This window comes from Homo sapiens, chromosome 16 (assembly GCF_000001405.40).
Source record: "Homo sapiens chromosome 16, GRCh38.p14 Primary Assembly".
Classification (NCBI taxonomy): Eukaryota; Metazoa; Chordata; class Mammalia; order Primates; family Hominidae; genus Homo; species Homo sapiens.
The window spans coordinates 67,085,938-67,105,917 of record NC_000016.10 but is presented as its reverse complement, the minus strand read 5'-3'; the positions used below and the strand labels follow the sequence as shown (position 1 = coordinate 67,105,917).

General features: G+C 40.6%; 1 protein-coding gene across 6 annotated transcripts in view; it reads right to left on the bottom strand.

Moving 5' to 3' along the window:
• The window catches only part of CBFB (core-binding factor subunit beta), a 71,910-nt gene continuing 56,789 nt past the window's right edge, over window positions 4,860–19,980 (bottom strand). For all 6 annotated transcript variants that reach the window (NM_001755.3, NM_022845.3, NM_001368710.1 and 3 more), the window contains one exon: window positions 4,860–7,208. In NM_001755.3, the coding sequence (NP_001746.1) occupies window positions 7,186–7,208 (23 nt within the window). In that variant the 3' untranslated portion in view covers window positions 4,860–7,185. The remainder of the gene's footprint in view (window positions 7,209–19,980) is intronic.

Below are 19,980 nucleotides of genomic sequence, written 5' to 3'. Positions count from 1 at the left end.
AGTCTCACTCTGTTGCCCAGGCTGGAGTGCAGTGGTGAGATCTCGGCTCACTGCAACCTCCGCCTCCCAGGTTCAAGCGATTCTCCTGCTTCAGCCTCCCCAGTAGCTAGGATTACAGGCACGTGCCACCATGCCCAGCTAATTTTTGTATTTTTAGTAGAGACGAGGTTTCACCATGTTGGCCAGGCTGGTCTTGAACTCCTGTCTTTAGGTGATCCACCTGCCTCAGCCTCCTAAAGTGCTGGGATTACAGGTGTGAGCCACCGCGCCCAGTTAGATTTTTTTTTTTAAAGCCAGTTTGAAAGCAGGAATGACAGGTAATGTGTACAGCAAATGAGGGATGGGGCTAAAAGTCATGGAAAATGGTGGAGCAGGGAACCCATCCTAATAGGCCTTACAAAGAACACTCCCCTCTGTTAGGGCAGAGGGCCCTCAAATGGTTTCCAGTGTCATTTCATAATTGTTACTGACCGGTGACTTCATTCTTCCCCTTTCTGAAGGCAAGTGCTTCCTGCAATTTTTCTGTCCCTGTCCCACCACTGTGTACTGGGTGCGTAGATCCTGGTCTCCACACACAATTTTAGCTCAATTGCCTGACTAGCAGGCACTTTTAGGTTTTCTTCCATGATGTGTATTTTCTTGAAGGAAGGAAAGTAAAATAATTGAAACAGTGGCCTGTTGTAGTCATCAGAGCAATTCACAAATATTCTGACTCCTGGGCAAAAAGGGTTGCATTTCCCTGCGCAACTGAAGTTGGGTGTGGCTGTGAATTGCTTGGTCCATTGAAAACAGAAGTCACGTGTATCAATTTCAGGTGAGTTTTCAAAGCCAATGCCTGTTTCATTACCTGTTTTCTTTCTTGGTTCTGTCACAATGGCTGGCAGTCCTCCAGTTCTGCTTTGTTAGCCTAGGTCAACCCCTGATGAGTATTTAGCATATAAGACATAAATCTTTAAGCCAATAAATTTTTTTGGTGTTTTAAAGCAACACACCAGCCCAGGCGTGGTGGCTCACGCCTGTAATCCCTACACTTTGGGAGGCCGATGCGGGTGGATCACCTGAGGTTAGGAGTTCAAGACCAGCCTGGTCAACATGATGAAACCCCATCTCTACTAAAAATACAAAAAATTAGCGGGCACCTGTCATCCCAGCTACTCGGGAGGCTGAGACACGACAGTTGCTTGAACCCAGGAGGCGGACGTTGCAGTGAGGAGAGATTGAACCACTGCACTCCAGTCTGGGCAACAGAATGAGACTCCATCTCAAAAAACAAACAAACAAAACAAAGCAACATAACCAGCCTATCCTGACTGATAAGAGAAATTGGGAAAACTGTCAATTATGCCTCCTGTACTGTTTATAGCTTTGAAATGTCTCCATGCCAACAAAGCTACCCTTAATCTTCCTGTGTTACTATATCGTATGATCAGTGGGACCAAGTTTCTGACTCCAGTCTTATTCTCCCCAAACAAAATTGAGTTTTCTCAAGCACCGATTCCATCAAGGTCATAAGCCCTCAATGGCTTCCTGTTCACCCTTGGGAATGGTCCAAATGTTTTATTTAACACGGTTGGAAAGGCCAGTCCAGCACTGCTTGTGACTCTTACCCTGCCCTCTGCTGGGTGGAATCTGCCCTTCTGGATTCATCTCACTGCTGCAGCCCCCTCTTTTCTGTTCCAGTCATACTCAGCTGCTCTTAGCTTCTCAAACTTGCCAAGCTATTGGCTAGCTACCTGCAATACCTTCTCTAGCTAGCTTAAGGTCTGCCATCCTTCAGATCTTAGCTCAAACATCTCTTTTTTTATTTTTGAGACGGAGTTTCACTCTTTCGCCCAGGCTGGAGTGCAGTGGTGCAATCTCGGCTCGCTGCAAGCTCCGCCTGCTGGGTGCATGCCATTCTCTTGCCTCAGCCTCCCAAGTAGCTGGGACTACAGGCGCCCGCCACCACGCCCAGCTAATTTTTTGTATTTTTTAGTAGAGACGGGGTTTCACCATGTTAGCCAGGATGGTCTTGATCTCCTGACCTTGTGATCCACCCGCCTCGGCCTCCCAAAGTGCTGGGATTACAGGCGTGAGCCACCGCACCCACCCTCAAAACATCTCTTTAGGGAAGCTTTTATTCACCACCCAGACTAGAATAGATGTACTATAAGAGCCAGTACTTCTAATGTAACTTAAACAGTGTTACTGCCTTTGGTCAGCTTTTTAGCTAGACTGTAGATTCCTTGTGAGCAGGGAACATGTTTATTTTGGACACTGGATATTTCCCCCCCTAAATGATAACCATACTTTTAGTCTCCAAAAAAAAAATAGAACTTCAACATTTTCCATTTTTATTTTTATAGGTAATATCTTGCTCTGGTGGCCCAGGATGGAGTGCGGTGGCAAGATCATAGCTCACTGCAACCTCAAAATCCTCGGCTCATGCGATCTTCCCACTCCAGCCTCCCAAGTAGCTGGGACTTAGAGGTGTGCACCACCATGCCTGGCTAATTAAGAAAAATATTTTTGTGCAGATGAAGGTCTTGCTATCTTGCCCAGGCTGGTCTTGAGCTCCTGGCCTCAAGCAATCCTCCTGCCTCAGCCCCCCAAAGTGCTGGGATTACAGATATGAGCTACTGTGCCTGGCCTTTTATTTTTATCTACAACATCTCCTCAACATTTCTGAAATCTGAATGAGGCCAATAACGACCTTAATTCTAAGTTGCTTAAATTTTCTAACCAAAAGCTGGGAGTTGACTAAAACAGTGACTTATCTGTTTCAGAATATTCCATATTTAAACAAACTAAACTGCCATTTCCATCCATGATTTCACCCTGTGACTGTCATTTTTTAGCTTTGGAACATTTCTGAAATGCCATATATGAATATATGATGGTGATGCAAGAAAAGGGGTTGATGCTATCTAGGGGGAATCATGTATTCAAATCTGCAAGACTGAAATCTTACCTTTAAAGAATGTTTAGATTAAAACACCAAAGGTATCTTTTTTTTTTGAGATGGAGTCTCGCCCTGTTGCCCAGGCTGGAGTGCAGTGGTGCGATCTTGGCTCACTGCAAGCTCCACCTCCTGGGTTCGCACCATTCTCCTGCCTCAGCCTCCCGAGTAGCTGGGACTACAGGCGCCCGCCACCACACCCGTCTAATTTTTTGTATTTTTAGTAGAGACGGGGTTTCACCGTTAACCAGGATGGTCTCGATCTCCTGACCTCATGATCTGCCTGCCTCGGCCTCCCAAAGTGCTGGGATTACAGGTGTGAGCCACCGCGCCCGGCAAAACACCAAAGGTATCTTATACTCAGTTACGTATATTTGGTAATATCACCATGGTGGTTTAGAAAGATGTCCACAAATGCTTTGACATCCCCGCCTTCAACAGATGAAGCTTAATATTCCTCCCCCTTTGAGTGTGGACCAGACCCAGTGACTTGATTCTAACATACAATATGGCAGCCCAAGATTCAGTTCTAAGACTGTGCTTTTGGCTGGGCATGGTGGCTCACACCTGTAATCTCAGCACTTTGGGATGCCGAGGCGGACGAATCACTTGAGGTCAGGAATTTGAGACCAGCCTGGCCAACATGGTGAAACCCCGTCTCTATGAAAAATACAAAAATTAGCCGGGCATGTTGATGGGCACCTGTAATCCCAGCTACGTGGGAGGCTGAGGCAGGAGAATCGCTTGAACCCGGGAGGGGGAGGTTGCAGTGAGCTGAGATTGCAGCACTGCAGTCCAGTCAGTCTAGGCAACAGAGCGAGACTCCATCTCAAAAAAAAAAAAAAAAAAAAAAAAAAAAAGACTGTGCTTTCAACTTGGGTGTGCGCTCTCTTGGATCACTTGCCTTGGGGGAAGCCAGCTACCCTGCTGTGCACTGTCCTATGGAAAGACCCAGCTGGGCATGAAATGGAAGCAGGTCTCTGTCCAACATCTAGCAAGGAACATCTGCCTTTCATCTAGCAAGCTGCAAAGAACCGAGGCCAGTCAGTGACCACATTAGTGGGTTTGAAAGGGGATCTTTCATCCAGTCAATCCTTGAGATGACTGTAGCCCAGGATGACTCTAACCTTATGAGGAACTCTGAACCAGAACCATTGATCTTAGCTACTTCCAGATTTGTGACTCACCTGTGGGATAATACGTATTTATTGTTTTAAGCTGCTAAGTTTTGGGGTAATGTGTTATGGATAATACAATGGTTTATAGATTGAAAAGCTCCTCATTGCCAAATGAGGCATAAATCAAGTAAGATATTTTTCACCAAGCAGCCCCGAGCTAGCATATCCAATTATGTTTCTAGAAGTGATATACTTACTAAAACCATGCTGTTACTGCTCAATTTTTTGAAATTAACTCTCAGAGCATGAATCCTACTCTTTGGAATTTCCCTTAATGGTGTCAATTCAGAATTTAAAGGCATTTTTGTCATTTGCAGTAAGTCTTGTGGTTAATGAGTGAATCTGTTTATCATGTGTCAAGCTTAAGGCATACTTTCAAGGAAAAGGGCTTACTTTTCTGTTGTAGGAAAATGCCAGGAGTCTTAAGAATGTTTGATATAACACCAGCACAATCAAAACGGCTGTATATTTCCAAAACAACTAGCTTGAAAGATGGAACTAATTTGGATGTGTAATTTAAAATTCTTTCTCCCAACATCACTACTTTATGGTCATATCTCACAGGATGGGTAAATCAAGCCAGATTTCTTGAAAACCATAATATACACTGGGGGATTTGTATACCTTGTGATACCTATATTTAAAGTAGTCTTCTTTGGAATCAACAGAAATTACCACTAGATGCCACTGTTGTTGCTTTCTTAGAAATTACTGGGTTAGGTCAAGAAAGAGCCAAGACCCTGTTTTTACTACACAGAAGTTTATTGTGAAAGTAAATTAAACAAACAAACACACAGTATGGCCAATGGTGGCAAAAGCAATCTGGTAGCTTAAGGCAAGTTTTAATGGAGATGAATTTAGAAAAGATGATGCAATGATGTAATTTTGTTTAAATATAGATTATGAAAAAATATCAAATTGCATCAATAACTTAATAGAAGTAGTTTTCAAAGCCTGTACTACTGGAGAAAAAGGGCTCATGATCTTAATGCCAGCATTAAGACAGACAGAAGCAGCATGGTGCTAAATGACAGAAAAATCCAGTATTTACATTAGGATGGTAACAGGAACATTTAAGAGCATTTGATCTTATTTACTGGTGGACCGAAAGCCCTTAGCTAGACAATAGAGGAAAATGTACCATCATCATGTTATTTAAAAAAATTTAAGTGCAGAAGTAAAAAACCAAGGAGCTCTGTAATAAAGTAACATAAAACACCACTGTAAGGATCACTTAAAAAGCGATTCCCTCAGGGGAAATTAGGGCACTGAGTGTGTAAACATGTGAGCTGTACAACACCAAAACCAACCAAATTCATTCATAGTACTTATAGTTATGCAAGATCAGCATGGCCTTTAATGACGCATTATTGTTTGTAACAATTTAAACACACTCCTTTCCATGCATAACTTCAAATATATAACAAATACTTTTATTTGATACAGGATATCTGTTTATGAAATAAGACCTATATACAATGAAAGTAACACCTCCCTCATCAGTCAAGTACAGTTATATGCTTTTTAAATGCAATGACCTTATTCAGACTTCAGTCCATTTTCTGAATTGACTGTGTCAGTTTTTCACCCTTTAAAATAATGCCATTTAATGATAAAATACATTTTTCAAAAATTCAGAAATGTAGTAACATTTAATAAATGTGACCATGAAAAATATTTGTAAGGAGGTGCCAAATGACTTAGCACTGTTTTCCACTCTGTATCTAAAAAAAAAGTTGCAATTTGACAGTAAGCCTATTTAAAAAATATTCTTACATTAATTCATCTCAAAAGGTTCTATTAATAGTCCTTTTGCAAAATACCATATATATAACTGTGAACGTTTTTTCCAGAATTAATGGAAGAAAATGCATCCTCTGCACAGATGAACATTTTCTCTCTAAAACTAATCTTTCATCACCCAGCATGTTTTTACAAAAGCATGCAATATAAAATACACATAAAAGCAGCTATCTTAAACATGATTTTAATACAATATTACCTTTGTAGCTGATTCATCACTGTCTCCAGTTTAATATGCTGTTACATACATGAAGAAGCTCCAGTATCCCTTTTCTGATTGACTTTTTAAAAAAATCCCTGAATAAAACAGAAGCCAGCCTGTGACTTCTTTAGGCATTTCAGTAGAAGATCATCTATGGAGAATATCTCCAACCAAACTCATGATTACAGAACAGAAGCTAAAACAATCTAGGGCAGAGTACAGAGTTAATACCAATTTAAAACTTTTATGTTTAAAAAGAAAGAGCCTGTAATCCCAGTACTCTGGGAGGCTAAGGCAGGAGGATCGCTTGATGCCAGGAGTTCGAGACCAGCCTGGGCAACACTGCGAGACCCTGTCTCTATTAAAAAAAAAAAAAAGAAAGAGTGCTGATTACTAGCATTTAAAAGGATACTGCAACTTTAATAACTGTAAACTTTGTCAGAAGGCTGTGGCAGACAGCTCTATGCTACTAAGTTTTTAGCCTGTAAATAATGCAAACAACATCAGCAGTTTTAAAATGCTATAGACTATAAAAACACAAAAGGAAATGGGGCAAACAAAACAAAAAATAAGAATGCTCATCTAAAATGAAGCTGTATAACCAAAACATCTAGAAGTACAAAAAAAAAAATAGAAAAAATGATTAGAGAAAACCCTCTGATACAATTTTAATTTCTTGACTTGTTTTTAAATGACATGAACTTTTAAATTAAAGTGGAAGAAAAGGAGCTTTACAGTTGATAGTTTCAACTCCCTAAAATAATGCCAACAAGGTAAGCTTGCATAGAAAAAAAACTTCAAATTATTACTGGCTACATGCTTAAAAAATTAGAAATGCAGGTATTATAATCATAGTGCAAAACCATGGCAGTTTGTGATGTCTATTACTGCCTAAGGTTGAGAAATAGACCGTAGTACCTCCAGTTATCACAGTTTCTGGTCTTTTAATCAATTATTTCTGCCAACTAGAAGCAATGTGTATGTAAAGATGGGCAGCACACATCTGCTGTGCTATTAATTAACGAAGTTTGAGGTCATCACCACCACCTAAATTGGAACCAGGACTAGGGTCTTGTTGTCTTCTTGCCTGCAATGACAAAATCATAATTTGGGGTCAAAAAGTGTTTTGACAATCAAAATACTAGATATACAAAATACAAGACAGTAGCACACAGAAAAACTTCATAACTAAAAAGTTTTCAGCCAATATAGTCACATGTAACAGGCAAAAAAAAACCAATTAAAATTATGTCTGACATATTTTACTAAAGTTTCCTTAAAAATCAAGAATAAAAATCATTTTTATTCAAAAGAAAATCACCATAAATATGTACTACATAAGAAATAACAACAAATCTAGCACTGGGCGCAGTGGCTCATGCCTGTAATCCCAGAACTTTGGGAGGCTGAGACGGGCAGATCATTTGAGGTCAGGAGTTCGAGACCAGCCTGGCCAAAATGGTGAAACCCTGTCTCTATGAAAAATACAAAAAAATTAGCCAGGCATGGTGGCAACACCTGTAATCCCAGCAACTTGGGAGGCTGAGGCATGAGAATCCCTTGAACCTGGGAGGTGGAGGTTGCCGTGAGCTGAGATCGCACCACTGCACCCCAGCCTGGACGACATAAGTGAGATTCCATCTCAAAAAACAAACAAACAAACAAACAAACAAACAAACAAAAAACCCCACAACAAATCTATATTTACAGTTTTGGAAAAAGAGGATTTAACTTTAACACATTAGCCAAGTGCCTTAGAAGCAAACTCTTCCTTTTAGTAATAGCTGACATTTATTGAGTATCAGCTGTCTGCGGGCACTGTTGTAAGTACTTTCCATGAATTAAATAATTTTTTAGAGAGATGGGGTCTTGCTATGTTGCCCGGGCTGGACTGCAGCGGCTATTCACAGGTACGAACATAGCACATTACAGCCTCAAATTCCTGGACTAAACCAATCCTCCTGCCTCACTCGGCCTCCCAAGTAACTAGAACTATGGGCACATGCCATAGGACCTGGCTAGAACTAATTTAATCCCTCCCAACAACCTATGACATAAGTGCTATTATTTATCTCTATTTTACAAATAAAAAAACTGAATCACAGAGAAGTATATGTTCTACTAATTATATGACTGAAAAATGTAGCACTTTATTATGGATAAAGTATTGTCTCATATGTTAAAAATAGAAATATAAAATTAGAGTCCTGGGTGCACTTATATTCCCAGATGCTTTTTTTTTTTTTTTTTTGAGACGGAGTTTCACTCTTGTTGCCCAGGCTGGAGTGCAGTGGCGCAATCTTAGCTCACTGCAACCTCCAACTCCCGGGTTCAAGCAATTCTCTTGCCTCAACCTCCTCAGTAGCTGGGATTACAGGCATGTGCCACCACGCCCGGCTAATTTTGTAGTTTTAGTAGAGATGGGGTTTCTCCACGTTGGTTAGGCTGGTCTCGAACTTCCGACCTCAGGTGATCTGCCCGCCTCGGCCTCCCAAAGTGCTGGGATTACAGGCGTGAGCCACCACGCCCGGCCCCAGATCTATTTTTTTGTTTGTTGTTTTTTTGAGACAGGGTCTCACTCTGTCACCAAGACTGGAGTGCAGTGGCACAATCTCTGCTGACTGCAACCTCTGCCTCCCCGGCTCAAGCGATTCTCCCACCTAAGCCTCGAGTAGCTGTGACCACAGGCACACGCCACCACACCTGGCTAATTTTTGTATTCTTTGTAGAGACAGGGTTTCACCATGTTGCCAGGGCTGGTCTTGGAACTCCTGGGCTCAAGCCATCTGCCTGTCTTGGCCTCCCAAAGTGCTGGAATTACAGGCATGAGCCACCATGTACGACTCAGATGTATTTTTTTTTTTTTTTTTTGAGACGGAGTCGCTGGAGTGCAGTGGCGCGATCTTGGCTCACCGCAAGCTCCGCCTCCCGAGTAGCTGGGACTACAGGCGCCCACCACCACACCCAGCTAATTTTTTGTATTTTTAGTAGAGATGGGGTTTCTTTGTGTTAGCCAGGATGGTCTCAATCTCCTGACCTCGTGATTCACCCGCCCTGGCCTCCCAAAGTGCTGGGATTACAGGAGTGAGCCACCGCGCCCGGCCCAGATGTATTGTTATAACAATATTTAACAATTAAGAAGCTTGACTAGGTCTATAAAATAAAAATTAGAAAAAAATACTTCCTGTTGACCAAATCTATTTTAAAAAAAGAGGCTTGACAATTATAAACACCAAGATTTCAAGATTCACTTTGGAGTCAACATTCCTATTTAAACCCCTTATGGTAAATTACTTAATAGAGAGACTATATATATACATATATATATATGTATATTTTCTCCTTCACAAGTTCTAATATGTGGTTATTCTATAAGCTTTCTTTACTGCCTCCAAATGTTGGCCAAGCACAAATATCTGTTTGTATCCAGAATGTGGTACTAAGTACTTTCCATGAATTAACTAATTATTATTATTTTTTTTTTTTGAGACAGAGTCTTGCTCTGTTTTCCAGGCTGGAGTACAGTAGCGCAATCTCAGCTCACTGCAACCTCCGCCTCCCAGGTTCAAGTCATTCTCCTGCCCCGCCTCCCAAGCAGCTGGGAGAACAGGCATGCACCACGACACCTGGCTAATTTTAAAATATTTTTAGTAGTGATGGGGTTTTGCCATGTTGGCCAGGCTGGTCTCGAACTCCTGGGCTCAAGTGATCCACCCACCTCAGCTTCCCCAAAGTGCTGGGATTACAGGCGTGAGCCACCATGCCCAGCTGAATTAACTCATTTTGTTTTAAAGAGATGAGGTCGGCTGGGTGCAATGGCTCAATGCCAGTAATCCCAGCACTTTGGGAGGCCAAGGTGGGCGGATCACCTGAGGTCAGGAGTTCGAGATCAGCCTGGCCAACATGGCGAAACCCCATCTCTACTAAAATACAAAAATTAGCTGGGTGTGGTGGCATGCGCCTGTATTCCCAGATACTCGGGAGTCTGAGGCAGGAGGATCGCGTGAACCAGAAAGGCAGAGGTTGTGGTGAGCCGAGATTGTGCTGTTGCACTCCAGCCTGGGCAACAAGAGGGAAACTCTGTCTCCAAAAAAAAAAAAAAAAAACAGATGAGGTCTTGCTGTGTTGCCCAGGCTGGAGTGCAGTGGCTATTCACAGGCACAAACATAGCACCCTACAGCCTCAAACTCCTGGGCTCAAGTGATCCTCCTGCCTCACCTTCCCAAGTAGCAACAGTTTTCCTATGTTAGATAACTGCAACTCCATTTTACCAGTTGTTTGAGCAAAAAGCTTTGCTCTGTCGCCAGGCTGGAGCGCAGTGACGCAATCTTGGTGCACTGCAACCTCTGCCTCCTGGGTTCAAGCAATTCCCCTGCCTCAGCCTCCCAAGTAGCTGGAACTACAGGCACGCAGCACCACACCTGGCTAATTTTTTGTATTTTAGTACAGACGGGGTTTCACCATGTTAGCCAGGATGGTCTCAATCTCCTGACCTCGTGATCAGCCCACCTCAGCCTCCCAAAGTGTTGGGATTACAGGCGTGAGCCACCGTGCCCAGCCTTTTTTTTTTTTTTTTTTTTTTTTTTGAGACACACTTTTGCTCTTGTTGCCTAGGCTGGAGTGCAATGGCCTGATCTCAACTCACTGTAACTTCAGCCTCCCAGGTTCAAACAATTCTCGTGCCTCAGCCTCCTGAGTAGCCGGCATGCGCTTCCATGCCCGACTAACTTTTTTTACTTTTAGTAGAGACAGGGTTTCACCATGTTGGTCAGCCGGATCTTGAACTCCTGACCTCAGGTGATCCTCTTGCCTCAGCCTCTCAAAAGCACTGGGATTACAGGCATGAGCCACCAAATCCGGCCTCTTTCTTAAAATTCTGATATATTTCTCTAGCATGTTTTAACTGCTTTTGTTAGCAGAATGGACAATGACTAAATTTTAGCACATTCTTTTCAATTAAATAGGTTATAGTACACAGTCACAAATTCAAAGAGCTATGGAATACATATGCATCAGAAAAGCAATTTATGTTCCATACACAATCAATGCTAAATGCAGTGTAAGGACAGATCAATTCTGCAAAATCAGAGATGGTGATATAAACATCTGCTTTCAGTCAATGAAGGTTAGAAAGGGGCCAAGCAATGAAGAAACACTGAGAAAAATAAATCCTAATTATATATTTATAAATCACTACTAACCTACCAATAATACTTTGTGAAAAGAGTATTTCAGCTTTTGTGTCTTGGGGCAAAAATAATTTTCAAATTATTTTAATAATAATGGGATTACTCCAAATATATGACAAAGCACAGTCATCAGCAGCTGGAGTTTTCCCTACTGGTCACAGCTGCACAGAAATAGCCATGGATTTGTTTAAAATATTACATTTTTGATAAAAGCACAGAGAACAGGAGTAAAGAAAAGTTGTCTTGCTATTATTTGTGGGTTTCATTTCTATTTACATTGTGAAGGCACTGAGGAAGATGTAAGGAAAGACACTGTGATGAAGAGTCAAGAGTAGGAACAAAAATGAGGGGCCCGGACACGGTGGCTCACACTAGTAATTCCAGCACTTTGGAGGCTTAGGTGGAAGGACTGATTGAGCCCTGGAGTTCCAGACCACCCCGGCCAACATAGTGAGATCCCCATCTCTTTAAAAAAAAAAAAAAAAAAAAAGAGGGAGGAAGTCTAACAGTACAAATGAGAGCAGAAGAGGGAAGAATGAGAGATCTGGGAGGACATTTAATGCTAGAAGGGAAGATGTATTGACCGTCATATGAAGGAAACAAATACAGAAACAGATTTAGGTTCAGTAAAATAGCTTCCATAGGAGTAGAACTTAACAGCTGAATAAGCAGCTGCTTTAAGAAGCAGGACTTCTTACTGTGGCAGTTTTCTAATGAAGGTTTTTGAAGGATTTCCTCTATGGGTAAACTATACTACATGATGGCAAAGAAACTCTGAACTCCATCATCCTAAAAGCACAAAGTTTGTAATTTCTAGTTTCCTTCTCCTCAGCCATAGGGCCTTGATTCTAACCTTTTAGTAACAGTTATTTCAGAATTGGGGTTTTAATATAAAGCACACATCCATGAGTCTGATTTCAGAGCACAAATCTGTTCTTAGTATTTATGAAGAATTAATCTCAACCTTGTGCTACAGACCTCTTACTACCAGTTGCTCTCCTGTTTTCTCTCAGTATATCATCTCCCAGGAACAAGGCAAATAGAGTTGCTAGGAGGCAGTCATGAGATGACTCCAAATGAGACGAAAGAACACACACCAGCAGCTTGAGTTTTCCCTACTGGTCAGAGCTATGCAGAAACAGCCACGAGGAGGGGGTATCCAGAATGAAGAAAATTTCCTGGTTGATCTCCATTCTTTTAATATTGAGAGCTCAAAAAAAAAAAAAAAAAAAAAAAAAACCTGCTGAAAACTCTTCATGGGAAAATTCCCTAACAATTAAAAACAACTATATTTTATTGAGTGTGTACTATGTCCAGATACTGTAGTATTCACTTTTTGTTTGATACTTGGCTAAAAGAACAGCTGGGCATGGTGGCTCACGCCTACAGTTTACAGCACTTCGGGAGGCTGAGGTGGAACAATTACTTGATCCCAGAAGTTCAAGACCAGCCTGAGTGACAGTGAGATCCTGCCCCTACAAAAAATTTTTAAAAATTAGTTGGGCATGGTAGCACGTGGCTGGAATCCCAGCTGCTTGGAAGGCTGAGGCAAGAACTGCTTGAGCCCAGGATATTAAGGCTGCAGTGGGCTATAAGACTGCACCACTTGGCTCATGCCTGTAATCCCCACACTTTGGAAGGCCAAGGCGGGCAGATCACCTGAGGTGAGGAGTTCGAGATCAGCCTGGCCAACACGGTGAAACCCCATCTCTACTAAAAATATAACAATTACTCAGGCATGGTGGTGCATACCTGTAATCCCAGCTACTCGGGAGGCTGAGGCAGGAGAATCGCCTGAACCCAGGAGGCAGAGGTTTCAGTGAGCCGAGATCTGGCCACTGCACTCCAGCCTGGGCAGCAGAGTGAAACTTTATCTCAAAAAAAAAAAAAAAAAAAAAAAAAAAAAAAAGATTGCACCACTGTAACCTAGCCTGGGTGACAGAATGACACCCTGTCTCTAAAAAAAATAAAATAAAATTCAGGGGGAAGGAAGGGAGAAAAATAAAATTCTGAATACAGAATTATAGAATTTTAGAGTGGCAAAGTACTTGAGAGATCTGATTCAACTCTCATTGTGCAGATGACAGCCTAAGACTAAGGTTAAGTAATTTCCCCCAAGTAACATAGTTGGAGGCAGAGTCAGAACACAGAATCAGACCTATGGAAAAGATGAGCCTTTAACTTACAATTGGCATTAATGTCAGCCTCCTTAGTCACTGCTAGTTCTCCCTATTGCTAAGTCTGGAGGAGACACAAAGCACAAATTTTAAGTCTCAACATGAGAGAAAGGAATGCACTTTCCCCAAACTCATTAAAAAGGTTAAAAAGCAGCCATAAAAAAGAATGAGTTCATGTCCTTTGCAGGGACATGGATGAAGCTGGAAGCCATCATTCTCAGAGAACTAACACAGCAACAGAAAACCAAACACTGCATGCTCACACTCATAAGTGGGAGTTGAACAATTAGAACACATGGACACAGGGAGGGGAACATCACACACAGGGAAGGGAATGTCACACACAGGGGCCTGTCAAGGGGTAGGGGGGAAGGGGAGGGAGAGCATTAGGAAAAATACCTAATGCATGCAGGGCTTAAAACATAGATGACTGGGAGGCTGAGGCAGGAGAATCGCTTGAACCCGGGAGGTGGAGGTTGTGGTGAGCCGAGATCGTGCAATTGCACTCCAGCCTGGGCAACAAAGGCGAAACTCTGCCTCAAAAAACAAACAAACAAACAAACAAACAACAACAACAACAAAACCTAGATGATGGGTTGATAGATGCAGCAAACCACCATGGCACAGGTATACCTATGTAACAAACCTGCACATTCTGCGCATGTATCACAGAACTTAAAGTAAAATTAAAAAAAAATTTTAAAAAGGGTAAAAAAAAGTCAGCAGACAATTATAAACATCTGTCAGATAAGCAGACTGCGAGAGCTGTTCCAACAGGCATGTCAAAAAATATAGTTCTTACAAAGTATGCAACCTAAGGAAAACTTCAAATATAAAGTAACATTTTAAAATGAAATAGTGGGAATAATCTGCATTTCTGGGCTTGGACCATGATGGCCCTACCACTTCAGCTATGTCACCTTAGGCAAGTTTCTTATCCTCTCTTAGCCTCGGTTCCTCAAAATGAAGAGGTAACTTACAAGAGCATTTAAAGATCAAATATAAAGCCAAAATTATAATGTACACTGCCTGGCACATAGGATGCACTCATGATGCTGTTATTATAACAAAGCTGTTCATCACTTCCCATTTCCATTTATGAACTTTTCAAATAACTATTCAAATGTTGAAAAATCCATATCCTGCAGATAGAATAATTTTTAGAAACTAAAACAAGGCTAAAACAAAAATAAATCTTAATAAAGTCTATTGCTCCTCTGATAGAGAACCAAGACTCTCTTCCTCTGGTAGTGGGGGAAGTCAGATTTCGTATCCTTTTCCTCCTTCATTAATCTTCTTCCGATTCTCATTCTCAGTCTGAGTTCATACTCCCAGTTCATTCTCATCTACTGCCATTACCCAAAACACAACCCAGGAAGGCCTAGCACAGACATATTCTCATGCTGATTTATCCATACACAAGAAAGAATATTGGTAGAGTTAAATAATTTGAAAACTGAAGTCTTCGGAAATTTAAAATAAATAGAGGCTGAGATTTTTTTCTTGGACCACACAGAATTGAAGGCCCCAAAACTATGCAAAATACAAATACAAAAACCACATAAAACTTTTTGCCTGTTTTTATTTCCAAATAGTTTCCACATAAAATTCTATGATTTGAATTGTATTAAAATTGCTCATAGTAGGATAAACAATAATTTACCCATTCTCTGACATTAAAGACAACCATTTATTTGCTGCCACTTTATAATCTAACCAAATGTAGGCATTTTTAAGATAATAGAGAAAATATCTTTAAGCACCCTGTCACCTTGGAGCTGAGTTAAAAGCCAAGAGTGCTATATTACAGTTTTAGGTCAAAAGGCCAATCAAGTTGAAGGCAGTCTCTGGAAACAGAGACTAGTGTACAAGTTGCTATCTTTCTAACTCAACTATGATCAGAGCATGAAATCTGTCCTTTATTAACCTCCATCTTCCTTCACAAAAGACATTTGAATTAGTTATAGACATATATACCCCAAAAAGAAAGGTCATGGGAAACATGTCAACATTTTCAGATCAAGGAAGGATTCTCAGACAGAAAAGGTGCTAGGATGCTTCTATATAGCAACAGATGCCAATGGAGAGCATTTCACAAAAGTAACGTCTGTGATTATTTTTTATTTTTAAAAGCCTTCTTTTTATACAAGTACAGAATAGTGCCCAAATTGTTAAGTATGTAATGAAGAATTTTCACAAAGCGAACACACCCACCTAACTAGCACCCAGGTCAAGAACTAACATTACCAGAACATGGGAAGTTCTCTTCATACCCACTTCTAGTCACTACTCAATCCCCACAGTAACTGGTAGCCTCCAACAGAGCCAAGAAAAGTCCAAAATCCTTTACTGGTTGTTTTAAAAAACCAAACCAACCAACCAAACAAAAAACACCAGAATCTAAAATGGCTTGGCAAAATAGTATCTTCGACTTTCATAGTCTAAAGTTAGGATATGACTACTTTTACTGTTTTCCTGCCACTCCAGATATATTGTGAGCCAAGTACACAGAAAGAAGGGGTAAAGAAACTGGCTTCCACTGAGTCCCCATTCTAAGCCTCAGATACTGAGCTCTGCAACAACCTGGGAGGGAGTTTTTACTGATGAGGCTCAATGAGAATAAGCAACTTTCTCAATGCTATATGGCAACAAGTAGTGGAGCCGGGATGCAAAACCTTGTGCTCATTCCACTACATCCAGAGTCCTCATTATGTTCTGCCACCCACTGGGTTCCGTAAAAACACCCCCAGGGACACCAGAGGGAGACCAGAACAATCCCTACCCTGGCTTTGCCCAGAGCAGTGCCTTTTAAAAAAACTGTTTTATACAGTGGGGCTCTGTATACAATTTCAAATGGAGGAAGGGTTTCACATAAAAAACAGCCTATATGCCAGAGAATAGAGATAGCAAGGTCTAGAATCTTCTGTTTTCATTATTCTGTGTAATACTGAAAGCAAATTTTATTTTTTTCTAAATAATTAATGATACAAAATTCATAAGGTACAGAAGATACACAGTGAAAAATAATAATTTGCTTATTTTGTCCCCCAGGTACCTGGTTCTCCCCCATAGTTTCTAGTTCCAGTTTCTTAGATATTCTACTAGAGAATGACTATGCACATTTAAACAAAAATTACCCACAGAGTAGGAAAAATACCCAGAGAGTAAGATATTATACACAGTACTGTGTACCTTATGTATATCATTTTAATGTATATCAATGACAAGAGTATTTGGTAAAGGTTACTAACATAAACAATGCTTCTTCATTTCACTATAGTTTCTCATTTCAAGTTAATGATAATCTGCCATTACCTCTGAAAGGTAAAGAAAATATTGTACTACTGAAATAGGCTGTTCCAGAAAAATGAGAAAAAGAAAACACTAAATCCTATCATGAAGGATCGAAAACTTTCTAAATTTTACACATGGTGAAATGGAAGAATGCTCAAGGAATTTTATAACTAGTTTCAGGTTAAAAGACACTGTTGAAAATCAAAACCCCTTGGGCCACCAACCACTTGGAGTTCTGCTTCCCCCCTTAGTAATCTTAACCTTACACATAGATTAAATACTCACGAGCACCACTGTTACAAGTTTAGCATGGCAGGGCTGGAGGCCTCAGAAGTTATCCAAACAGTGGAGGACATCCCTAAACCTCTGTGCTGCTAGGATCTCAAGCTTCCACAGGCCGTTTACTGACTTGCTGCCACCCATGAGTTACCACTGTTCTCTGGCCCTCCTCTCCAGTCAGGCATCAGGACCACCCACTAGAACCATTATTTTTCTTTTCTGCCTCAGCCTTTTCTATTCCAGGCAAAACGGTTCTTAATCTCTCCTGGCAGATTTTATTTTTCAGCTTAAGCATCTTTACGGGTGGTGTGGAAATTAATTTCCCAGCGCTAAGCTGTATTTGTGCAGGCCTCCTGGTTAGGAAACTGGTTTAAATACTCACTGTTTCTTCCATTAACCAAATATTTGAGGGAGAGCAAGTCAATTAATTTTTTGGAGACTCTCAGTTTTATCAACTGTAATAATGTTAGATTAGATGATGTTTGAATCTCTAAAGATAATCTGAATCACAGAGGGGAAACAACATTTTTCTCCAATATTCTCTTTTTAGGAAAAAGAAGGTAAACTGCAAGAAAATAAGGTGACATTAGGAATTTTTTATGGATGGAAAAAAAAGACAAAGAAGCAAAATATATACACGCTAAGTGCCAAAAGACACACAAACCCCAAACTCCCCTATGTGATTGCCAGTGCATGTGCTGGAGTCAGATTCCAGCCCAATTTTCCAGATGACAGTTCTCTACAAGAACTGATGTTTTAAATTACTGCCATAAGGGACTACAGGATCTTAAATCATTGATGAAAATATAACTCTTTTCTCTATGCTCTAGGTCATAATGTAGGGAAAGTGCCTTGATACACTTCAGAGAACTAAAAGGATGTTCTTGTTAGCCAAATAATTCAATTAACTGGAACCAGCATTATGGTGGAGCTTTTAGTGCTAAAAAGAAGTACTTCAGAGCTATTATTTACTGTAGGCATACACATACCAAGCATCATACTAAGTGCTTTACAAGCATTTTCCCATTTAATACTCAAATTCTGTGAGAAAATTAGGGCTCTTGAGGCAAGTGACGGAGCAGGAATCTCAACTAGGCCTGACTACAAAGCCCATGCTCTCAATCACTGACAAAAAAACAAGTAGAAACAATCTATCTGAGCAACAAATTATGTGACACTTCTATCAACAGACTATATTTCTGTTCATATATACATATAAACTCACATACCAAAATATTCTTCCAACATTTTAAATTAGAAAAATCAAATTAACAATGTATTTATTTCTTTTTGTGGGGTCAGGGAGACAGGGTCTTGCTCTGTTGCCCAGGCTGGAGTGCAGTGTCACAATCATAGTTCACTACAGCCTTGACCTCCTGGGCTCAAGCGATCCTCCCACCTAGCCTCCCAAGTAGCTGGGAACACAGGCACATGCTACCATGCCTAGCTAGTTTTTAAATTTTTTGTAGAGACAAAGTCTTGCTGTGTTGCCCAGGCTGGTCTTGAACTCCTGGGCTCAAGCAATCCTCCCTCAGCCTCCCAAGGTGCTGAGATTAAAGGTGTGAGCCACCACAATTTAGAATAGAAAATTCTTAGTCAATTAATCTAGAGTTTTATGTAAAGCAAAATACATACAAAAGCTTTCAACAGTTGTTCCATTAATTGTCAAATAGTTAATCTCCAAATATAATGTAGCTGAAGAGCACTTTTTAGAAAATGATTCCTATATTCATTTAAAGCCATGTTAGCTTGCTCCAGAAATACTGACCAATCACACTCTCTTGACTTGGCAGGCTCTCTTACTCCTCCTTACTCCTCCATGCCTTTGCATACACTGTTTGTCCTGCCCAGAATGCTTTCTCCAACTTGAACAGCTGGCAAAACACACTCTTCCTTCAAATCCCTCTAAGTATACTACCCTGTGAATTTCCCAAGCAGAGGCAGACTTAAGCTTCCTCTACACTGCTGCTGTCCCTTTTGAACCTCCATTATGTATGGTGGTTGCTAAAGTACACTGCAATGATCTGTTTATCCATCATTTTCCCACAAGACTGACAGCTGATCAAAGACAGAAACAATGCATTTTCATCTATATATTTCTCAGTCCCTAATGCAGAATACAGACCAACACACTTGGGGTTTATTACTTTACTTAACTAGTTAATATAAACCAACACATTATAAATATTTAGAATCTTTCCAGAGACCATTAATATGTATTATCTACATGAACTATCATAGCAGGCTCTCCTATAATTCTAGTTTTCAGACAGGCAGGATAGGGGCTGTTTTTTGAAGATATCCAATGAACAACTAAGCAGTGTACAAAGGATTGTGGTAGGTAATGTGGAAGACACAAAAATCAGGGGCTCCATCTCATGGGATTGCCATAAAGTGGAGGGCACAAATGTTTATAATTGTTTCAACATGTTGTTCAATAAGAACACTAGTAGAAATAAAAAGTGCTACAGAATGGAAGGGCTTTATGATTATGACTAAGAAGACTGAGGAAAGGCCTGACATTTAATGACAACATTCAGGTTGGGCCTTGACGGACAGAAAAGAACATTCTACATCAGGGAACAAAGAGCATGAGCAAAAAGGTTCAGAAATGTAACAAATGTACATTATACATTTTAAAGCTTCTAAATTTTACAGATACCGAAAGAAAGGGCATGGTGTGGAAGTCTTGTATTCACATATATGAAAATCACAAGAATTACAACAGCATCAAAGAAAACAAGTATCACATATATCCCTCCATTTTCTTCTCTTAGCTAACAAGTATTCTTGGGGACATCCTCAGCTGCTATCAGCCCATTAGATTAATTAACTCACTGACAAAGAGATCTAGCAATCACTAAAAGATACTAAATTTTAAGCCGGGCACAGTGGCTCAAGCCTGTAATCCCAGCTCTTT